This window comes from Homo sapiens, chromosome 2 (assembly GCF_000001405.40).
Source record: "Homo sapiens chromosome 2, GRCh38.p14 Primary Assembly".
NCBI lineage: Eukaryota > Metazoa > Chordata > Mammalia > Primates > Hominidae > Homo > Homo sapiens.
In genome coordinates this window covers 86,716,602-86,736,574 of record NC_000002.12, presented here as the reverse complement: position 1 = coordinate 86,736,574, position 19,973 = coordinate 86,716,602, and the positions used below count along the sequence as shown (strand labels likewise).

Below are 19,973 nucleotides of genomic sequence, written 5' to 3'. Positions count from 1 at the left end.
TTTGTTAGAGCCATATTCAACAAATGGTGCTGAGACAACAAGATATCCACATGCAAAAGAATCACATAATATATAAAAACTAATTCAAATGAGCCAAATGCAGTGGTTCAAGCCTGTAATACAAGCACTTTGGGAGCCCGAGGTGGGTGGATTGCTTGAGCCCAGGAGTTTGAGACTAACTTGGGCAACATGGCAGAACTCCATCCCTACAAAGAATACAAAAATTAGCAGGGGGTGGTGGTGCACGCCCACAGTCCAAGCTTCTAGGGAGGCTGAGGTGGGAGGACTGCTTGAGCCCAGAAGGTAGAGGCTGCAGTGAACTGTAAGCATGTCACTACACTCCAGCCTGGGCAACAGAGTGAGACCCTGTCTCAAAAAAATAAAGTCAAAAATAAAAATTAACTCAAATGGAATAAAGACCTAAATGTAAGAGCTGAAACTATCAAATTCTTAAAAGAAAACAGATGCATTTCTGACCTTGAATTAGGCAATGGTTTTTCAGCTATGACACCACAAGCACAAGCAACCAAAGAAAAAATAATTAAAATGGACTTCATCAAAATTAAAAACTTGTGTTGCAAACACTATCAATAAAGTGAAAAGACAATTCATAGAAGGGGAGCAAATATTTGCAAATCACATTCTGATAAGGGTTTAGTATCCAGAATAATATAAAGAACTCTTAAAGCTCAACAATAACAAGACAAACAATGCAATTTAAAAATGGGCAAAGCACAAGGCACAGTTCACGCCTGTAATCCCAGCACTCTGGGAGGCCAAGGCAGGTGAACCACTTGAGCCCAGGAGTTTGAGACTAGCCTGGACAACAAGGCGAGACTCTGTCTCTACAAAAAAAATACAAAAATGTGGCTGGGCACAGTGGCTCATGCCAGTAGTCATAGCAACTAGGGAGGCCGAGGCAAGTGGATCCCTTGAGCCCAGGAGGCTGAGGCTGCAGTGAGCTATGATTGCGCCACTGCATTCCAGCCTGGATGAAAAACAAGACCCTAACTCAAAAAAAAAAGGTCAAGGATTTGAATAGACATTTTTCAAAAGAAGATATACAAATAGCCAACAGGCACACAAAAAGATGCTCAATATTATTGGTCATTATGAGATGAAAATCAAAACTACAATGAGATACTACTTCATGCCCACAAGATTGGCTATCAGGAAAACACAATAATAACTGTTGGAAAGGATGTGGAGAAATTCAAAGCCTTATCCATTGCTAGTGGAATATAAAATGGTGCAGACACCATAGAAAACAATTTGGCAGTTCCTCAGAACGTTAAACAGTTACTATATGACCCAGAAATTCCACTCCTAGTTATATCCTAGTTATATACCCAAAAGAACAACATGTCCACACAAAAACCTGAATCAGAATGTTCACAGTAGCATTATTCATAAGACAAAAACTGGTAAGAAACCAAACCTCCAAAGAATGAATGGATAAACAATGGATTATCCAGTCATTAAAGGAAATGAGGTACTGATACATACTATGACACAGATGAACCTTGAAAATATTACATTAAGTATTCAATAAGCCAGACACAAAAGGCCACATATTGTGTCATTTCATTTGCATGGAAGGTACAGAATAGACAAATCTATAGAGACAGACATAGATTAATGGTATTTGGAGTGGGAGGAGACAGGGTGGGAATGGAGAGTGACTGTTAATGAGTACTGGATTTCTTTCAGAAATAAAGAAAATGTTTTTAAAAAGAAGTCATACCTCCTATCCATCCAGACACATTTATTTCTACAACCAGCAGACAACAAGGTAGGAAAAATACAAAAAATAAAAAGGGTGCCAGGTACGATGGCTCACGCCTGTAATTCCAGCACTAAGGAAGGCCGAGGCAGGCGGATCACTTGAGGTCAGGAGTCTGAGACCAGCCTGGCCAATATGGTGAAATCCCATCTCTCCTAAAAATACAAAAATTAGCTGGGCGTGGTGGTGAGCACCTGCAATCCCAGCTACTAAGGAGGCTGAGGCAAGAGAATAGCTTGAACCCTGGAGGCAGAGGCTGCAGTAAGCCGAGATTGCGCCACTGCACTGCAGCCTCGGTGACAGAGCGAGACTCGGTCTCGAAAACAATAATAATAAAAATAAAAAAGGATGAAGCCAAGCTGGAGGAAAGAGGTCACCTAGAATTTACCACTGAACTTCCACGCACCAACCTTGAAATCCACTGATATTTTCAAATCGTAGTAACTTACATATCTGGAGTTTGGTGCTATTTGTTACCTCCTTTTCTTCCTTTACCATCTACAAATTCCTCTAATTTTTGGTTTTCAATTTTATGAATGACAGATACAAGCAGTTTATGGCCAATTAATTAATACTGAGAGTTCTCAGAATGCTCCAAGGAAAAATAATTTCTGTAAGGTATTTGGAAACTCAAGAAAAGCAGAATGGAATAATCTGAAAGAGAACCCTGGGAAAGCCCTGTTAAGAGAGAAAGAGTTCACTAATGCATTTTCAAATGGACTCAGTGGAAAGCAGCCAAAGGTTTAAAACAGGTTTGAAAATTGCTATAATGACCAGACTGACAGTCAACCAAACTTCTATAAGTCCTACTGGGAGAGTTCTAATGTTCTTTTGATTTCTCTGTATGAAAACACAACCTGCTTCTAGGAGAACCTTTATGTGAAAGAAACTGGATTCAGTTCCTAGAAGAAAAGCTGGGGAATTACTGTGACAGCCATCTCCACCATAACTACATCCAGGTTGGCCACTGCGGTGGTCACTTGTCACCCAGAAGAAAGTCCTGCACTAACTGTGTCTTCCAATGTAGTAAACCCAGGGAACCCAGGCCCAATGCATGAGCCTGAAAGAAACAACTCTGACGCAATGCTCACTCATCACTGGAGGGTCACAAGTACTTTTTAAAGTCAGTTTTATGATTAAACAAGTGTAAGAATTAGCATGTTCAATATAAGCAAAGAACGAACATATGTAGACCATCTACGTGTGTTGCTTTATTAAGTTAAAATTTTCAATAAAATAGAACAGCACCTTTTATCATATAAACAGATTTTAAGCACGATACTCAAAATTTTCAAGTTCTGCCCTTGAGCCTCACTGCTTTGCCATTTTAGGATGTATGCCCACTAGTTTCACAGAAACAATAAATAAGAAAAATGTTTGTTTCCATAGCATCCTATACTTCCCTATCAGAGTTTCACACTTTGTTGTAAATAGTTATTTGTCCATTACTCCCACAAAATTAACTTTAGTAGGAAATATGACCAATCCCCAACGTTTAGTATAGTAACTGGCAAATACTACACGTTCAGTAACTAGTTACCAAAAGAATAAATATGAAAATAATTAATTATGTATTACATAATCTCAATTTCAAACCCAGCATTGAAGACTGTCTGGTACTACCAACACCCTCTGAAATTGCCAGCAGTTTCACTCAGCAGTCCACTGACCCCTCACTCTCTCACAGAATGTTTAGCATCTTCTACACAGTAACACTGCAGCCTAAGTTCTGCAAATACCAAGTAAGTTAGGAAATAATACTGTTCCTGTCTGTCAATAACATTATTGCCTAAGTAGAAAATCCCAAAGAATCTACACACAAACACAATCCAAGAATAGATGAGAGTTCAACAAGGTCACAGTACCCAAGATCAACACAAACATACAAACACACATATGCACACATATTTTCAAATAAGACACATTCACAAAAGAGTCCCCTGGCATCAGTTATAAGTTCCTTCTCTCTTCCAAATAATGACCTCTCCCACCAACCCCAGGAATTAATGGGCTTGTGCTCTGACTCAAGTCACTTTTGAGACAGTTTCTTTTTTACAAAACTATTTCCACATTTGTCAAAGATGCAATGAAACATCTCTAATATATAATGTGACCCTATAAAAGTATATTCTAAGTCAGAATATAGGAAGGTATAACAAACGTACACATTAAAAGGGTGACTGGTTTGCACAAAGCTAAAAACTATAAAATCCCTACTAATACCTTGGTTACACCTTCAATACACTTTTAGCATTTTGTACATACATTTGTTTTACTTTCTTCCCTACTGATCACAAGCCTCAAAAAAAAGCACGTCTCGTGTCCAGCTCCGTGACAAGATTTACCCACTATTTTGGCTCACCTTAATACAATCTAGACAAATATATCATTAATATTGACAAGTACGTTTCTCATCCCTACTCAGTATCTGCACTTTTAATTTTCCGTCTGCCACTTATTTTTATGATATGGGGGGAGGGGGTTCAACTGCACAAACACACTGTTAAAGATAGCATTGCTAAAACTAAACAGCTGGTTGGTAGGCAGCACACCATGTTGCAGCCTGAAATGTCTGCCATCAGGAGATAATAAAAAGTTCTAATTTGGTCTATAAAAGGCAGTTTAAAGGTGTCAATTACACCATGAAATACATGCTGCCCACGAGTCAAACACATGAGAGATGAGACCCACCATACTTGAGAGCACTCTATAAAAAAATAGGGAGGCACAATATAAAAAAGTATTGTTATGGTGATGATTTTCAAGAAGGTTGAAAGTATCACCACCTAAGACTGGAATATTTCCACAGAAATAAGATTCCGCAGAAATCACTAAGACCTGGCTTGACATTTTAATGAATATCCTATAGGCAGTAAAAATTTAAAATATCCAAGTTTATAAATATTACATGTATCGCATTTGAGCTCTTCTGAGTTATGAAAAGTTAACTCCACTTTCATAAGATGGACAGAGATCTTAAATTTAGAATTAAGTGGAAAGCAAAATGGAACACAAGTTTTGATGCAGATAAATACAAAGAAATCCATTTAGGAAACAAACCTAACTGTACCTAAATGAAAACTCAGACCTCATAGAGATATACTCCAGAATTCATTCTAGATTAGCTATTTAAATAAAAACACTAAAATCAGAAAGCTAAAAGAGTATTAGGCATCACTAAGAAGGCTGGTGGGGGGGGAAATCTATGATATACCACTCTTATAAAAGCCTTGATGCCTTAAAATACAAAATGAAACCAAGAAAAAACAGAAAAAAATGTAAAAGGGAGAACTATAACATTTAGAGTCAATTAACATTTATTGAGTGCTGAAGGCCTGTGTCAGCAATGTTCAAGATACTTTTCCCATGTTACCAATTTCTACACAGATTTAAGAAATTTAGAATGGGAATAAAGTAGATAAAGGATAAAAAGATCTAAGACTGACTCTAGAAAAGTCACTGACAAGGTGACCATGGATATCCTTGCGAAGTACTAGAATAGAAAAACTTGAAACTTGAAAAGGTAAGGTTGGAATTTTTTAAAAATAAGGGACTATTTCATTTTGTCTGTAGTAAAATAAACTGCGGCCCATTGAAATTTGGGATTCTTGTGAGCTACTTCAGCACCTAGGACACAGCGGCTGCTTAGAGGAAAGAGAAAAGGCACAAATAGAACACATTCATTTTTTTCTGGAGGAGGTAAACACTGAAAACAAAATTTTTCCAGTATATTAGTAGCTGGTAAATCTGCAAAGTAAAAGAAAGTATGGTATTTGGTGTTCAACTCCTGACCTTTCAGAGAACAGTAGACTGACAGACACGTGTTCTGATCCAGAGAGATTATTAAAGACTGTGCATCAAATTAGAGGCACAGTGTGCTGCAAACCAAACATGAGGGGAAAAAAACGAAATAAAGTTAATATTTAGAGTGAAATTACATGGTACAGACTAATAGTGCTCCTGGAGCAAAGAACAGTATCAATGACTATCATAGAGAAGACAGGAAAGGCTTCAAAGTATATGAGGCAAGAATTGCAGAGAGAAGAAAAAAGATACAGGCACAAGATTTTAAACATATGTCTGTGACAGTCACATTTTAGAGAACCTATTCACTCCCTTCAAATTCCAAATATAAAGACTTAATCTCTAGGCATCTCATTTATCTCTGAAATGAATGGTGGAACCACATTAGGTTTCCTGTAGCATTGGAATCTGGATTTCATATTTAAAAATCAAACTCAGGCCAGGTGCAGTGGCTCACGCCTATAATCCCAGCACTCTGGGAGGCCGAGGTGGGTGGATCATTTGAGTTCAGGAGTTCAAGACCAGCCTGGCCAACATGGTGAAACCCCATCTCTACTAAAACTACAAAAATTAGCCAGGCGGTAGTGGCGCATGCCTGTAATCCCAGCTATTCAGGAGGCTGAGGCAGAAGAAACACTTGAACCCAGGAGGCAGAGATTGTGGTAAGCCGAGACACTGCAATCCAGTCTGGGCAACAGAATGAGACCCCCCCTCCCCCACCCCCCAAAAAAACAAAAACAAAAACAAAAAAAAATCAAACTCAGATTTCCACCTTCCCCTCTCCTAAACTTCCTATTTTCTACCTGGTTCCATAATGATCTACCCATCATTCATGTTTAAAACCTTGGATTAACCTTTGGTTTTTCCTGCCCTTTTCTCCTACTCTGCCAGACTCCATCTGTGCACCAACTCCTGGTCATTCCTTCCCTCAGAAATCCCTTTCATGTGTCCCTTTAAATTTCTACCACCAGTACCCAAAGACAGGTCCCTATTTCATCAAATCTAGGTTGACACTTAGCCTTAGCTAACGTTCTTGCCTCTAGTCAAACCTCACTCCCAACTCCAAACCAACCTAAATACTGCTGACAACTGGTCTCTGATCGTGTCCCTGTCCCCTCCCTATTCAAAATGTCCCCACCCCACCCCAAAGTAATTCAATATCTTCCCAGTCTACTACTTTCCCTGGTATCCATGGCTTTACAAAACCTGATTCCAATTTAATTTTAATGCTCTTATCGCCTTTCCCCTGCAATCTGGTCCTTCACCTCTCACTCCTCTACACCTTTGTTCTTGCCATCCTCCCCTCCAGGCACTCCATCTGCTCTTTCTGCTATCCATATTCAATCTCTGCTACTAAAACTTCCCATAGGTAAAAAGAGTCTCTCCTTGTCTCAAATCCCACCCCTTTTTGTCCACACCACTCATGTAGCATCTAGCCTAGATACATAACCGTGCATTACAGGGCACTGCTTTTGTTTGTGTGTTTGTTAAAAAATGCCAGTCTCATCTCCCTAACTGGACACAAAGTTCTTAGAGGATGAAAATGCTTGTTCTTTGTAACTCCTAGAAGATTTTGCTTAGTTCTACCTATAAATGGTGATTAATAACTACTGATGAGGTGATCTAAAGTTCAGTTGAAATAATGCCCATCTACTCCCATGCAGTTCTTTCTAAGGGCTCTCTCTCTTCACTGGTGTCTGTACTCACCAGAAGCACTGTTATACACTGTGTGCCGTGGTCTTGTTTTTTCCCCCTTTCAAATATGAGTCTGGTCTCTCCAACTAACTTCTAAGTTCCTTAAAGACTCTTTCTTATACCTTTTAAGCATTCTTTACAATGTTAAGCAGACCACTGGACACAGAGTGGTATTTAACATAAACCAGTAATAAAGACACCTAAATATTACCCAAAATGTCTCAATTAAACAGTGCTTGGGCCCGGCGTGGTGGCTCACGCCTATAATCCTAGCACTTTGGGAGGCCAAGGCGGGCAGATTACGAGGTCAAGAGATCGAGACCATCCTGGCCAACATGGTAAAATCTCGTCTCTACTAAAATACAAAAAAAAAATAGTCAGGCCTGGTGGCATGCGCCTGTAATCGCAGCTACTCGGGGGCTGAGGCAGGGGAATCGCTTGAACTTGGGAGGCAGAGGTTGCAGTGAGCCAAGATCATGCCACTGCACTCCAGCCTGGGTGACAGAGCGAGACTCAGCCTCAAAAAAAAAAAAGCTTAACACCACTTAAGGCACAGACTTTATAAATAACACGTCTACCCTGTTTTACAAATTTCAAAGCCAGTTCACGTCTATTATTTATTTCACTCTCATAACTCTGTGATGTCAGTTTACTGAAGGAAAAACTGGCTAAGCAAGATTGTAGGATCAGGCCGGGCGTGGTGGCTCATGCCTGTAATCCCAGCACTTTGGGAGGCTGAGACGGGTGGATTACTTGAGCCCAGGAGTTCAAGATCCGCCTAGCCAACATAGTGAAACTCCGTCACTACTAAAAATACAAAAATTAGCCATGCATTGTGCACACCTGTAATCCCAGCTACTTGGGAGCACAAGAATCGCTTGAACCCTGGAGGCAGAGGTTGCAGTGAGCTGAGATCACACACCACTGCACTCCAGCCTAGGTGACAGAGTGAGACTCTGTCTCCAAAAAAAAAAAAAAAGATTGTAGAACCAGTAAATTGGCAGTGCAAGGATTCAAACCCAGACCTCCTGGGCCCAGGGTCAAAATTTTAGGTACTATTCCACAAATACAGATTCATCTTCTCAATTAGCCTCCAAGTTCCTGGAGGACCAGGGCCATGAATAATGTTTCTTTTAAAAGATTCTCTCCTCATCTCCTCCCAAATGTCTTCATGTATCAATAAGATGAATTAAACCTATATGAATTCTGCAGATACAACAAACTCATCATAAATAACACACAGCCTGACACTACATTGTGCCCCCATAACAGACGAAATCACCATCCAGGCCTCCATCTTAAGTGGAGAAAGACTTGGTAATATAAGCCTATGGCCTCTCCAAGCGACATTCCCAAACAACCATTTTGAGCTCAGCCACACAATCACCACACCCATATAAGGTGAAAGCATACTGTATTTCTCAAAATCCTCGAGTCCTGCCAGACAGTCTAGTCTTTGTTCTCTGAAGGGTTGAGTTAACATCTAATCTAAAGAGAATGGCCAGAAGTGTCTGCTACTCTCAGAGCTTTCAAGGAAACGTCCAGTTAGAGAGCATCATCTCCTGGAAGTACCACGGGTCTCCAAGTACACATAGCTCAGAGCCAGGGCCCTCCACAATTTTCTCCCTAAACTGCATTTTTGGATCATTTTTAAAGATTTTGGAAGCCTTACAGATGAAGAAGCAGGGCCCTAAATAAAAATAAGTTAGTTTTAATATTCCAAGTGAACAGTTTGCTAAAACACCATTTTCATCATCCTAAAGACTAAGAGACTAAGACATGAAAACAACAGAAACTTCTCTATTAGCTCTAGTATGACAGTATCACAGAAGTGTTGGCAAGTTTCTCCTTACCAATGTTATTATCCAGAGTTAGAAACTACTTTAGAAATAAAATAACTTTAGGAAAATTACTTTACTATGTCAAGCATTAAAGTAATTTCAAAAAAGTTCTAGAGGAACATGAACCAAGTTGTATTCTCTAGTCTATAGATTAAGTCATACTAACAACTCACTACTTGAATTATATGAGCATTATAGTTAGGAGGCCAGGCAAAAGCTGAGAAGGCGAGGCTAGTCAGGAAAACATCTCAGAGAATGTTACTGATATAACATGTAGCTGTTGCACTGTAATAGACATATATTACTCTGTCTGGGTTTAAGTGTTCCTTTCTAGAACTGTCTCTTTACCTGATGAACAGTGTATTATAAGGCCATATACCTCCTGAGGGGGTGAGCACAGCTCAAGGTGGCCAGAAGACCTCACTCCCTGGTCCCAGTTACTGATTCAGGGAAAGGATCCATAACGGAATAATAAAGGTACTCCCTGGAGTATCTCCAACAAAATGGCCATGTTCCTGTCTTTTGAGCTCCATTGGTCATCTCTACCCCATGTGAAGAAAACTACCCTGAAAATAAAGCCAACAGTTGACAGAAGAGAACAAGATCAGTCCTGATGACATGCCTGGTGCCCCTGGAGCCAGCCTAGCCCTAACCTCAGCCTATTTATACATCAACAAATTCCATTTTAATGAACACTATTATGTCACCTGCCAGTCTAAATGAATACGGTGCCAAATAAAAAAGAATTAATTATCTCCAGAGTACGTCTGGAAAAAGAATGGCTAACAAAGTTAAATCTACTTCTAAACCCAACTGGAAACACCAATATACTGACTTTTTATTCTTACCACCTAAAATGGCCTAAATAACTTGAGAACCAGTCTGTTCTTCTCTTAGAATGTTTGAACAATGTCCTCCCAAACTTTTATTTATGACCTACTGATATACTATTTTCCAGACTAGATGTTAAAAACAGATATCAAATTGTATTCAAAACAAAGTCACTATTCTCTCAAGAGTGTCTTGTTAGTATTTAGCAAAAGTCTGGGTAACAAATGGGCAACCTGGCTATGAGGCCTACTCCATGCACACCAAAGAATAAGGCTAAAAAGGTAAACAAGCTACAAGTCTACCAAGCCCCGATATAATACATTTACTTTCATTCAAAACAATATATTCAACACTGGTCGGCTCTGAAAAAGCACAGATCATTCATATATACAAATAAGCATACTTTTCAACACATGTGTTTAATATACACAACCCAAATTCTAGATTGGAAGATTATACCTAACATGCGACCCTCAACCTCTGGTTTTTGTGTACTGATGCAATATCATACCACAGCAATGAGTTAAAAATGTGACCTCCACAAGTTTCTTTTTTTGTTTTTCATGTTTTACTTGCCTACTTACCTTCTCATTTGTTACCTTCACATTTTTAAAAAGAAAGCAGTTCTCCAACTGGTAACCAAAGTTTCAACAGTTTCTTTGATTCACCAAAGAGATAAGGGTAGGAGTTATGGTTTACATGAGTTTTACTACTAGAAGTCACAACATACACACACACCAAAGGAGTTTTAGGTGCTAATACAGTATATGTTGATCACTCCCACAGATGAAGACATCTTTACCAACTTGCAAAGTGAGATAACACTAAGCCTTAATCATAGTAAATGGAAATACATATCTGATGCGTTAAAGAAAAAAGGAAAAGTGACAAATCGTCATTTCACTGGATTCTTTTAAAATTTTTTCTGGAGGTCGGGCGCAGTGGCTCACGCCTGTAATCCCTGCAGTTTGGAAGGCCGAGGCGCGTGGACTGCTTGAGGTCAGGTGTTCAAGACCAGCCTGACCCACATGTTGAAACCCCGTCTCTACTAAAAATACAAAAATTAGCCAGGCATGGTGGCAGGTGGTGCCTGTAATCCCAGCTACTCAGGAGGCTGAGGCAGGAGAATTGCCTGAAGCCAGGAGGCGGAGGTTGCAGTGAGCTAAGATCGCACCACTGCACTCCAGCCTGGGTGACAGAGGGAGGCTGTCTCAAAAAACAACAAAAAAATTTTTTTTCTGGAGACTGGCATTTATGTCTGTGAAGTGGGCAACCAGGTGGTCCAGGAACAAGAGTAGAAAGATTTTTCAATGGGTGTCCTTTTTTATCATTTGAGTTTATACCATTTGAATGTACTATTCACTGGGTTATCTTTTTCATTGTTTGAATGGATACCATTTGAATGTATGACTTACTAAAAATTAATAAATAAATTTTAAATTTAGAAAATTCCTTGAAAGTCACTTTCAGAAACCACATTAGAACTCCGTTAGTCTAAAAATAATCAGAAAAGAATACTGCATGTCCTTTACTCTTACAAAAACTGCAATTTTCCCAAGTATACTTTTAAATGTGTCCTGAAACCATTACCAACTGTTTCTGCCTAATTTTCTTTCACAAAGTATGAGTGCAGAATACCAGCAAAACATGATAAATAGTTCTTTTCTGTTTTTCCCTTCCACCACAGAGGTGCTAATGGGAAACAATATAAATTTGCCAATAGGAAAAAAATGCTAAAAGGCATATACTCACAAATCAAATCACTAAAAGTTAACCATACAGTAGTTAACCCTGTTAAGCCAGGGTTATCCAAAGCACCGCTCCCATACCACTGATGCGAATGGTAATTTTAGCTAGTATGTAAACTAATATTTTAATTGTTATGAATTTATTTTAACATGTAGTTTATTATACCTAATACCTACATACCACATGTAGGACTACACAAATATCACTGCCTAAGATAAATCTACTTAAGTAAAATCGTGAATCCATCTGAAAAATAAGAGTGCACATGTGTATGAGTGAAGTTTTAGAAGCACCAGTGCACTATACAAATTAGATCGAGGCACACTGGGAATGACCACCAGCCTACATTAACCACAATGAACTTAGACCAAACTTCGTGCTCACAGGGAAACTCTCACTGAAAGGCTGGCACAACTAAATGACAGAAGCTGTGATCTCTATTCCTCTTACCTTGGACACCTCACTGCAGGCTCTGGATCACTCCCCACCCTCCTATCTACCACCCTAAGGTTTCTAATTCCAAAGGCATGAAGAGAAGTCTAGAGTCAGTCTCCAGGGAGAGGAATGTCTTGGCCTCGGCAGAGCTCTTCAGTATTCTCCCTGGTTCTTATTGCCTCTTCATGTTTCTATTACACCTATGTTGTCCCTGAACCACCAATATTCCCTAACTGTCTATGGCACCAAGTCGAAGCCTGCACTTCCCTCTCAGAGCCTTATATTCCATTATTGTTCTCTGCTGCAGGCCTGATACCAGTCCAACCCCATTTAAAAGAAAAAAAAAAAAAGATATTCCTGTTGTCAGGCTGACGGATTTGGCCAGAGGTGGATTAAATGGCAGAGCACAAACCAATTCACCAGGTATGAGAGACCAGCCCATACTATCCTCATTTCCCCAAGTGTATCTGCATTAAGAAACTTGCATTTTAAAAAAGATTAACGAGAGAAATTTTATGTAAAAGAATTTCAAGCTACTTAAAGGTGATTTAGACCACCTGAGAAATTTTAGGGCTCACTGCAGGACTATCTCCCAGCCAGCAATCAGGCAGTATTTACAATCTGGAATAAGGGTGCTGAGACTAGAAAAGGGTTGTCAATGGGCTTACTAACTAAACTCTTATTTATGTATGATCAGTTTCCATCACAAACTATCCTAACAGCTCATTTAGTATATAGCTGTCTGCTCACAACTTCAGAGATGAAAAAAAAATTTTAACATAAAACATTCATCCTCAGAAACTGAACCAATCCCTTTAGGTTGGCTAAAGGATGCTTCTGCAACAGTCATTCACCAGTATGATGCAATGATGTGTTCTATATAGTCCTCAAAAATTCTGTTTTATTCATACCAGATTCTTGCAAGTATTACCACAAGTAATCTCAGAGAATGAGGTCCAAAGTCCTGACAGAGGGGTCCCAATTAGAGCCTCTCAGGTTATCAGAATCATTTGCCCAGACAGGTATATTCAGAAGCCCAAAAATCTTCCCTTTAAACTTGAAAATAGAGTTCCAAACTCAGTTTTCAGTAAAATACCTTTGAGAAGGGCATATTTAAGTTTCAATGTAATATCTACCACATCACCTGCCGAGAACTTTAATTTAGAAATCATCTGTTTTCAAAAATACCATAGCCCAGATGCCAAAGCATGATGTTTATCTTTACACAAAAAAACACCAAAAGAAGAAAGATTTTATTTGGGAAACTAGACCTGGCACTTGTGGTATTTATTTTCTTTCATGTTTTATAACTACCTTTAGTCACTTAATCCTATTATTGAAGAATTAAAGGAAATCAAAGAGATACCAATATAAGACTAGCAATTTGGTAGACAAGAGGGAAAAAATTAGGAGGCTGAAAAGGGAACACACAAACTCACCAACTCAGACTGTTTTTAACAGCATAGCATACTGTGTGGCCAATACCCCTCAAACCATAAATTCTGAGAAAAGTTCCCTAGTACCCAGTGGAGAGTCAAAAACAAATTCCTGCCTCAGCAATTTCTCACCATCATTTTATCCATCTGAGCCTGGCCCTAAATTTTCTAAAACAAAGCTCACAATCACATCCCCCTTCAACTTACATCCTCTCTCATGGAAGAAAGGTACTTTCTGTTCCATCATTTTCCTCTCAAACTCTGCCTATGACCTGGTCCCTAAAAACGAAATGTTCCTTCCACCTCTCCAAGTCTAGGCCCTTCATTCTCTTCCTCCACTGGTTCCTTGGCAGGGCCGGGAGCACAGAGGGAATACCTCCCACCGCTGTACTGGATTTCCCACACCTCGGTTCACATCGAATTTTTCTTCTTAACCCCCAGTAATCTGGCTTGTCTTAGCAATTCTATGAAACTGCAAGCACAGAGGGTTACTGACTCCCAATAGCCAAATAAAAGCTGACCAATCTCTCCTTTTCTAAGTCCTCGCCCTTTTCGATTTCTGCTGGCTCTATCTAGCCTTGGCTCTCCACTCGCCAAGGAAAATTCAAGACTGTGGTTAGACTCTAGTCTTTCTTCTGTGCAATCTAAGTGATCCCCTCCACTGTCCTCCTAGAAATGACATCAGAAAACAATCTTAGACCTATGCATCTCCAGCCACCAGTAAATAGGAAAGCCCTCGATTCTATCTTCATTAAGCCCTTCAACCTTACTTCACATGTCCAAAACCAAATTCAAAGTCTTCCCAGGATTCCTGTCCCATTCCACCTTCACTTCCCTGTATCTACCAACTATATCATCATCGCCACGTCAGTCAAATTTCCCTTCACAGGCAGCCACCAAGGTCTGCTCGTTTTTCCATACTAGTATTGCAACTCCTATGAGAATTAATACGGTTTTTCCATATTAAAATCTCATCCACTATGACTGCAGGTTTGCTTCCTTCCTGGAGTTCAAAAATGACTGCAGTGTCCAGAATGAGAAGCTGCTGTAAGACTCCTTTCCCATGGACCAGCACCCATCCTCAACTGAAACGCAGTCTGGGAAAGTGTGAAAAAATGAAGGAGAAGGAGAGAGACACTCAGCTAACGCCACTGCCCTCATCTCACCTGCCACAAATAATCTGCATCTTCCCCCAGCTACCAAACCGTCCTTCACATAAATTTCTGTTCAGCCCACAAGCTGAAAAGCCCCCTCAGCCTCTTATTAAAGACCCATTAAATAAGTCCTTCACTTCTTGATCAAAAGGAATCATCGCTGTGACTTCTAAAGTGTAAGAAAACCAAACCTTTAAAAGTACCTGTCCTCAGGGCTTGGGGCAGTAAAAAAAAAAACAATCTAGGTGAAACACCTTCTATAGGAAAATTTATTTTTTTTGAACGAACTTAACCAGGCAAAGCAAGTAACTAGCAACATGTGCACAATTTACTTGGGCAAATGTCGCCCGTTCCTCCTCGGTGTCATCAGAAGGTACACTGGGAGAACAGAAGGGTTGAATTGAGCTGGTTTCCAAGGAACCATGTCAGAGCCGCTGCGGAGTTAAGAGCTGCGTCCACACAGCAGCCAAATCATGAAGTTGCAGGAGCGGCTGTTGTTAACCCACAGCTAAGAATAACGCTCGACTTTCCAAAATAAAACGAAGAAACGAAGTCCCCTGGCCAAGGATTCGGGGCGGCACAGAGGGGAAACGGAGCTTCCTGCACTGCCCTCATCACTCAGAACCTGGGGTCCCAGGCGATTCAGTCACCGCCCACAGAACAGCGCCGCGGGCACCACGTGAGACTCCCGGGGCCGGCTGGGAGCGGGGGACGAGGGGCGCCCACTCGGGGGTCGGCAGTTTGCAGGTGCGATGGGCGGCCCCCTCACCCACGTTTATCCGGACTGGAGCCCGCCGCTCCCGGCTGGGTTTCCGGGTGGTTCGCGCTCCTTCTGAATTGGCAGCGAGGTCGCGGCAGGTTCGAGGTAAATCGGACGAAGAGGGGAAAAAGTCTCAGGGGTCTGGGGGCCTCCGCGCCTCAGGGGAGGCAAGGGCCGGGCCAGAGGCGCGAGGGTGGGTGAGGGATTCCCGCCGCGGGGCCGGGACCGGGGCTCGGGCAGTGGGCCATGCCCCGCGCGCCCACGCGGGCCGCCCTACCGTGGCTCTGCAGGATCTCGTGCTTGAGGCCGCCGGTGTAGTCGATGAGCTCCTCCAGGCCGCGCTCGCACAGCTGCCCGTAGCCTGAGAACTTGTGCAGCACCTTCTCCAGCTCGCGCTCCACCGTCACGCACTGATCCATGCCGGAGGCGGCGGCGCTCGGCTCCTCGGCGCCCAGGTGTCCGCAGCCGTTCGGCCCGGGCCCCACCGAGGCCGCGTCCTGCTCCTCGTTCCCCAAGCGGGCGGCGCGGGAGGCTGAGGCGGCCGAGGCGGCGGGCGCACTAGCCGCGGCGCCGGGGGAGCCCCGCGCAGCCGGAGCCCGCCTGCCCCATGGCGCCCTAGCCCCCCGGCGAGTCGCCGCTGCTCCCGTTCGCTCGCTGCACTCGGCTCCGCGTCCCCAGGCCCCGCTCGCGACGTTCGGGTGCCTGCGACGGCGCGGCCGATTGTTTTTGTTTTCACGGGAACCGACCGATGACCTGGTTCTCCCGGGCGGCACCAAGCGCCGCCGACTGGGGGGAGGGGGATGGCCACCCGGGCGAGGAAAGGAGGCGGCGCGGGCCGTACCAAGTACACCCTCGGGGTGGGGGGTGCGACCCGGCGAGAACGGGCGGAGGAACGCGACGGGCGCCCACACGCGCCGCCACTCTAATGGTGTGGGCCGTACCACACGGAAGGCGTGCGAGGGAGAGGGCGAGGGTGGAGCGAGGCCCCAATTGGCCTGAGGAGCTAAATAGGGAACTTTGGAGACAGCCCCAGCGCTCGGAGAGCGCAACAACTACGCGCTCCATAAACAAGGAGGCGGAAACCGGCCCTCACCACTCCGCCCAGAAGCGGGGAACCCCAACCAATGGGCGCGGGGAGTGGTAAGAAGCCAATCCCTGGCCGAGGCGTAAGCCTTCAGCCAATCCGGGCTGAGGGGCCAAACCAACGGGCTCGCTGTTGGAGGGGGTGACTTGGAGAGCGTACCGAGAAACGAGTAGTTTATGGAAAGCCTTGGGGGAAAACTAGACAAAAATACAAAAGGCTGTTTTCCATAGGACGTCGCCCTGATCCCAATTTATTTCGTCTCCTCATCGATCTTAAGGGAAAGGGGTACCGTCATTCCGAACTTTTGGGCGACGGATCCATCTCCCGGGAATGAAAAACCAAGCCAGGCCGCCCGGGGGCTGGTTCTGCGTCGGCGGGGGGTCCCTAATGGGAATTAAAGGCGGGGGTGATTGGGCCCGGGTGAGGGGAGCCGCTTGCTGCTCGCGAAAGGCCCGCGCCGGCTGTCAGCGCTGCCCCGGGCTTGCGACACCCAGGAGGTCATGTCCCCATCCCCCGCGGACCGTGGCCCTTTGGCCCCTTGGCCTGGAACCTCTCCTGACGGTGGCCTCGCCCCAGAGCCATGTGCCGGGCAGCTTAGCCGGGTGGAAAGAACACGCGCTGGAGAGCCGGGCAGCCTGGCCCTTGCTCCCTAGGAAGCCTTATGCTATCGGATCGGATCGGCTTTACCCCCTCGGGTAAATCCTTCCCATCGCTTGCTATGGCGTCTGCAGCCTTGGCCTAGACCTCCTTGATCAGCATCGGCTGCACTACCTTTGCATTTCTTCAGGAGCCCAGCTAGTTCGTGCCTCAGGGCCTCTGCACTTGCCCTTTCCTTGGCCCAGAAAACTCTTCCTCCTACCTTTTTCATCCTGAAGTTCTTCTCAGCTCACTTGTCCCCTTACAGGGTCCTCCCCTGGCTGACCACACTAATGTACTTCCTCCCCACCGTTAATACCATAACACATTTTATTATTTCCACACCACTTAAACTCTGAAATGATCTGATGTTTTATTTTTCTGTCTGCACCACTTACATAAAACCATGACGGCAGGCCCCCTGCTTGTCTAAATTTTTTGCCTAGAACAGCCCCTGGCGTGAGGTGGTAGGCAATTCTTTTTCTTAAATTAACGTGATAACGTTTTTGAGCCTTAACTTCCGTATAACTGAGAAATAATTGGAATTAATACTTAACTAAATTGTTAGATAAAGGAGAATATATGTAAATACCCATAATAGGCTCATGATAACCACATGATAAAGGTGGTAGTAGTCATTATTAGGGCAGCCCCAACTGGTATTATTTCAGATCTCCCTTCTCCCCACCCCATTTTTCTTCCCTCTTGGCAGATGTCTCTGATTCTTCACTGAGATTAAAAAAAAAAAAAAAATCTAGCTCCAGCAACTTCTATCACTCTTCTCCAAGTATTGCTGTGTACCACCCATTTTGTGAACATTCTCATGTACCCAAAGGACCAGGAGTCCCTTCTCCCTTTCCAAGACAGCCGTTGGGGCCTGCGGGCTGCCTCTCACCCCTGTCCAGATCTTCCCCCTCTTTCTCTGCAGTAGGTTCTTCCTTTCTACTTTCAGCCCAAATGGGTTTGACCTACCTGGGGGAGGAAACTTAATTTAACCCTCCTCAAGCACTCATTTCTTTCACTGCCAAACTGCCTAGACAAATCTATGTTTATTCCTCCCTTTTCTTCAAGGATCTCCTTGATAAGCTCAGTCACCCTTTTCTCAGTCTTTTTTTTTTCTTCTCCTTCAAAGGGTTGTTATAGTATGAAATATTCCATTTAAGGCACTCAACAAAATGCCTGGCACAAGGTAAGAGCCATGATAATCCACTGATCACAAATAATCAATGACTCCTCATTACCTACAGCTTCAGATCCTCTCTCAAGGACATGGTCTGCCCTGTGTAGCAACACAGCACAAACCCCTATCCAGGCATGAAGCACTTTCCCACCCTTAGTGTGACTTGAGTACAGCCCATTCATACTTTGCCTTCTTCTGGGACACTTTTCTTTATTCTGTTTTTCGAATCCTCCCTTTCTTCAAGTAACAAGACAAGTCTTACTTTAACTAGTGACACCTTCTAGAACCTAGTCCTGCACTCTTCAATACCATAATCACCAGCCACAAGCAGGTTTTTTTGTTTGTTTGTTTTTTTGTTTTTTTGTTTTGAGATGGAGTCTTACTCTGTCACCAAGGCTGGAGTGCAGTGGTGGGATCTCGGCTGACTGCAACCTCTGCCTCCCGGGTTCAAGTGATTCTCCTACCTCAGCCTCCTGAGCAGCTGGGACTACAGGCACACACCACCACGCCCAGCTAATTTTTGTATTTTTGGTAGAGACAGGGTTTCACCATATTGGCCTGGCTGGTCTCAAACTCCTGGCCTCGTGATCCACCCGCCTCAGCCTCCCAAAGTGCTGGGATTTATAGGCGTGAGCCACCGCACCCGACCCACGTGTAGCTATTTAAATTGAAATATAAGCTAGATAATTTAAAATTTAGTTCCCCAATTGTGCTAACCACATATCAAATAATAACCACATGTAGCTGGTGGCTACTGTATTAATCAGCGCAAAATAAATATTTCCATCACTGTAGAAAAGTTTTGTTGGACAGTGCTGATCTAGACCATGACCACAGTAAAGTTACCAGCCCTACCTTTAACTGCTGTAAGACCTCTGTGTAAGTCATTTCATGCCTTAGTGCATACTGCCCCCATATTTTTAGTTAACTTTTCCAACATGTGCCTTTTTGACTCAACTAGACTATCAGTTTTCAGATCTGGGCTGACTTCTTTTTATCTCCCATGATTTAATCAGCATGAAAAAAAGTGTTTGTTAAAGGAAAAAGAATACGCAGATTAGAGGAGAAGAGGCTTCAGAGTTAGCTGGGAGAGAAAAATAGTACTTGTAAGGGCAGAGATTTATGTTGCTTCTTCACTTTGTATTGGCCCTTTCTACACAGTGCCTAATTGCCTTAAGCCTAAACTGTGAATTGTCAAAGAAGCACCTCTAGAAACAACAGGGAAAGAAATTTAGTTTTCAGAGCAACTGCAAATTAGTTTTTTTTTTTTTTTTTTTTTTTTTTTTTGAGCCAGCGTCTCGATCTGTCGCCCAGGCTGGAGTGCAGTGGCGCGATCTCGGCTCTCTGCAAGCTCCGCCTCCTGGGTTCACGCCATTCTCCTGCCTCAGCCTCCCGAGTAGCTGGGACTACAGGCGCCCGCCACCACACCCAGCTAATCTTTTTTTGTATTTTTACTAGAGACGGGGTTTCACTGTGTTAGCCAGGATGATCTCGATCTCCTGACCCCGTGATCCACGCGCCTCGGCCTCCCAAAGTGCTGGGATTACAGGCATGAGCCACCGCGCGCCGCGCAAATTAGTTTTCT

General features: G+C 43.2%; 2 protein-coding genes across 2 annotated transcripts in view, besides 7 other annotated features; one reads left to right on the top strand and one right to left on the bottom strand.

Annotated features, from left to right (window-relative positions):
- The window catches only part of RMND5A (required for meiotic nuclear division 5 homolog A), a 57,751-nt gene extending 41,467 nt beyond the window's left edge, over positions 1-16,284 (bottom strand). The window contains exon 1 of the mRNA NM_022780.4: positions 15,766-16,284. Coding sequence (NP_073617.1) covers positions 15,766-15,907 — 142 coding nt within the window. The 5' untranslated portion in view covers positions 15,908-16,284. The remainder of the gene's footprint in view (positions 1-15,765) is intronic.
- Positions 10,591-11,091: an enhancer, noted in NCBI's record as "H3K4me1 hESC enhancer chr2:86952607-86953107 (GRCh37/hg19 assembly coordinates)". NCBI's record gives its function as "activates a minimal SCP1, AML or CMV promoter by ChIP-STARR-seq in naive H9 embryonic stem cells {active_cell/tissue: H9 hESC(naive)}" and the evidence as "EXISTENCE:reporter gene assay evidence [ECO:0000049][PMID:30033119]".
- Positions 11,092-11,592: an enhancer, noted in NCBI's record as "H3K4me1 hESC enhancer chr2:86952106-86952606 (GRCh37/hg19 assembly coordinates)". NCBI's record gives its function as "activates a minimal SCP1, AML or CMV promoter by ChIP-STARR-seq in naive H9 embryonic stem cells {active_cell/tissue: H9 hESC(naive)}" and the evidence as "EXISTENCE:reporter gene assay evidence [ECO:0000049][PMID:30033119]".
- The window catches only part of RNF103-CHMP3 (RNF103-CHMP3 readthrough), a 217,693-nt gene continuing 213,172 nt past the window's right edge, over positions 15,453-19,973 (top strand). The window contains exon 1 of the mRNA NM_001198954.1: positions 15,453-15,593. The gene's annotated coding sequence lies outside the window, so the exon portion shown is untranslated. The remainder of the gene's footprint in view (positions 15,594-19,973) is intronic.
- Positions 15,668-15,727: a silencer, noted in NCBI's record as "silent region_11720". NCBI's record gives its function as "represses an Ori minimal core promoter by ATAC-STARR-seq in GM12878 lymphoblastoid cells {active_cell/tissue: GM12878}" and the evidence as "EXISTENCE:reporter gene assay evidence [ECO:0000049][PMID:35858748]".
- Positions 16,206-16,364: a silencer, noted in NCBI's record as "fragment chr2:86947334-86947492 (GRCh37/hg19 assembly coordinates)". NCBI's record gives its function as "represses an EF-1alpha promoter that drives an FKBP-Casp9 reporter gene in an ReSE screen in HepG2 liver carcinoma cells {active_cell/tissue: HepG2}" and the evidence as "EXISTENCE:reporter gene assay evidence [ECO:0000049][PMID:32094911]".
- Positions 16,206-16,437: a biological region, named in NCBI's record as "ReSE screen-validated silencer GRCh37_chr2:86947334-86947492".
- Positions 16,248-16,437: a silencer, noted in NCBI's record as "silent region_11719". NCBI's record gives its function as "represses an Ori minimal core promoter by ATAC-STARR-seq in GM12878 lymphoblastoid cells {active_cell/tissue: GM12878}" and the evidence as "EXISTENCE:reporter gene assay evidence [ECO:0000049][PMID:35858748]".
- Positions 16,558-17,091: an enhancer, noted in NCBI's record as "NANOG-H3K27ac-H3K4me1 hESC enhancer chr2:86946607-86947140 (GRCh37/hg19 assembly coordinates)". NCBI's record gives its function as "activates a minimal SCP1, AML or CMV promoter by ChIP-STARR-seq in primed H9 embryonic stem cells {active_cell/tissue: H9 hESC(primed)}" and the evidence as "EXISTENCE:reporter gene assay evidence [ECO:0000049][PMID:30033119]".